The following is a 2,418-nucleotide window of genomic DNA, read 5'->3' on the forward strand; positions in this document are numbered from 1 at the left end:
TGTGAGCCACCATGCCCAGTCAATAATAATTAAAAAAAAAAAAAATTGGATAAACTCAATAGTCATTCCTACTTTGTAATTTTAAAAACAATACAGTTTCAAAAACGTTTTAATTGTGGTAAAATACACATAACATAAAATTTACCATCTTAACCTTTTTTTTTTTTTTTTTTTTTTTGAGATGGAGTTTTGCTCTTGTTGCCCAGGCTGGAGTGCAGTGGTGCGATCTTGGCTCAGTGCAACCTCTGCCTCCCGGGTTCAAACCATTCTCCTGCCTCAGCCTCCTGAGTAGCTGGGATTACAAGTGCCCGCCACCACACCCGGCTAATTTTTGTATTTTTAGTAGAGATGGGGTTTTGCCATGTTGGCCAGGCTTCTCTCAAACCCCTGGCCTCACGTGATCCACCTGCCTTGGCCTCCCAAAGTGCTGGGATTACAAGCGTGAGCCACCGTGCCCAGCCCTGAGCCACCATGCCCGGCCCACCATCTTAACCATTTTTAAGTGTACAGTTCAGTAGTAAATACATTCATATTGTTTGCATCCAATCTCCAGAACTTTTTTTACCTAGGAAAATGAAAACTGAAATGCCCATTAAACAACTCCTCATATCCACCTTCCTCCCCAACCCCTGGCAGCTACCATTCTACTTTCTGACTCTATGAATTTGACTATTATAGGTGCCTCATCTAAGTGGAATCACAAAGTATTTGTCTTCTTGTGACTGGCTTATTCACTTAGCATAATGCTCTCAGGGTTTATCCATGTTGTAGAATGTAGAATTTCATATATACACCACATTTTGTTCATCCATTCATTTGTTGATGGATATTTGAGTTGCTTCCACCTTTTGGCTGTTGTGAATAATACTGCTGTGAACATGGTTGCACAGCTATCTCTTTGAGTCCCTGCTTTCAACTCTTTTGGGTATATTCCCAGAAATGGAATTGTTGTATCATATGATAATTCTGTTTTTGAGGAACTGCCATAGTTTCCCATAGTGGCTGCCCCATTTTACATTCCCATCAACAGTGTACAAGTATTCCAGTTACTCCAGATCCTCACCAATACTTGTTATTTTGTAGGGTTGGTTGGTTTTTTGTTTTCTTGGTAGTGGTCACCTCAATGGATGTGAGGCGGTGTCTTTTTGTGAGTTGCAGTTTCCTAAAATTAGTGATTTTGAGCATCTTTTCATGTGGTCGTTGGCCATTTTTGTATCTTTGGAGAAATATCTGTTCAAGTCCTTTGCCCATTTTTTCATTGGGTTGTTTATTTTGTCGTTGTTGAGTTGTAGCAGTTATTCATATATTTGGGTTATTAATGCCTTACCATATATATAAATTGGAAGTATTTTCTCCCATTCCATGGGTTTCCTTTTTATTCTGTTGATTGTGTCACTTAATGCACAGATTTTAAATTTTGATGTCTATTTTATGTATTTTTACTGTTTTTATCTCTGCTTTTGGTGTCACATTCGAGAGATCATTGCTAAATTCAACGCTGTAACACTTTCTCCCTGTTTTCTTCTTCTTTTTTTTTTTTTTTTTTCTTTTTTTTGAGATGGAGTCTCTGTAGCACAGGCCGGAGTGCAGTGGCACGATTTCAGCTCACTGCAAACTCCTCCTCCCGGGTTCAAGTGATTCTCCTGCCTCAGCCTCCCAAGTAGCTGGAATTACAGGCGCTCGTCACCACACCCAGCTAATTTTTGTAGTTTTAGTAGAGATGGGGTTTCATCATGTTGGCCAGGCTGGTCTCAAACTCCTGAACTCAGTTGATCCACTCACCTTGGCCTCCCAAAGTGCTGGGAGTAAAGGCGTGAGTCACCGCGCCTGGCTCTCCCTGTTTTCTTGTAAGAGTTGATTATAGTTTTAGTTCTTTTTTTTTTTTTTTTTTTTGGCTGTAAGTTTATTCAATGCAAAAGAATCCTCTCCAGTTTTACTGAGGTGGCTGACCACGTCCACGACCAAATCCGCCTCTAAACTAGAATTCGGTTGCTGACCCAGCCCCAGCCTCGGCTTTCTTGTCGGCACCAGGTAGCACAGCACTCCTCACATACAGACCTTTAGGCCAAGGTCTGCCAGTCTCTGGACGGCTACGGGGTAGGGTGGCAGGCACAATCTCCGGGGGCAGATGAAGGTAATCACGGAGATACTGGATACCCTCATTGGTAAGGTACCAGTAGAAATGTCTCCAGGCAAAGTGTTCCTTCACGTAGCCTCGGGACTTGAGAGACTGCATGGCCTTCATGACATGAAGGTTGGGCACATTCTTGTCTGCCAGCTCTGGGTGCTTAGGCATGTGGACATCCTTCTTGGCCACCATGACCATCCTCCTTAAAAAGGAGTTCATAAATGGCAATCCGGTTCTTCTTAGGCGTCAACATCTCTGCGGCTGCAGGGTCCGGGGCTGGGGCTGGAAAG

The 2,418-nt window shown here is 42.8% G+C and overlaps 1 pseudogene; it reads right to left on the reverse strand.

Annotated features, from left to right (window-relative positions):
* On the reverse strand, positions 1,888 to 2,418 carry RPS10P15 (ribosomal protein S10 pseudogene 15; annotated as a pseudogene).

Source organism: Homo sapiens, chromosome 7 (genome assembly GCF_000001405.40).
Source record: "Homo sapiens chromosome 7, GRCh38.p14 Primary Assembly".
Taxonomy (NCBI): domain Eukaryota; kingdom Metazoa; phylum Chordata; class Mammalia; order Primates; family Hominidae; genus Homo; species Homo sapiens.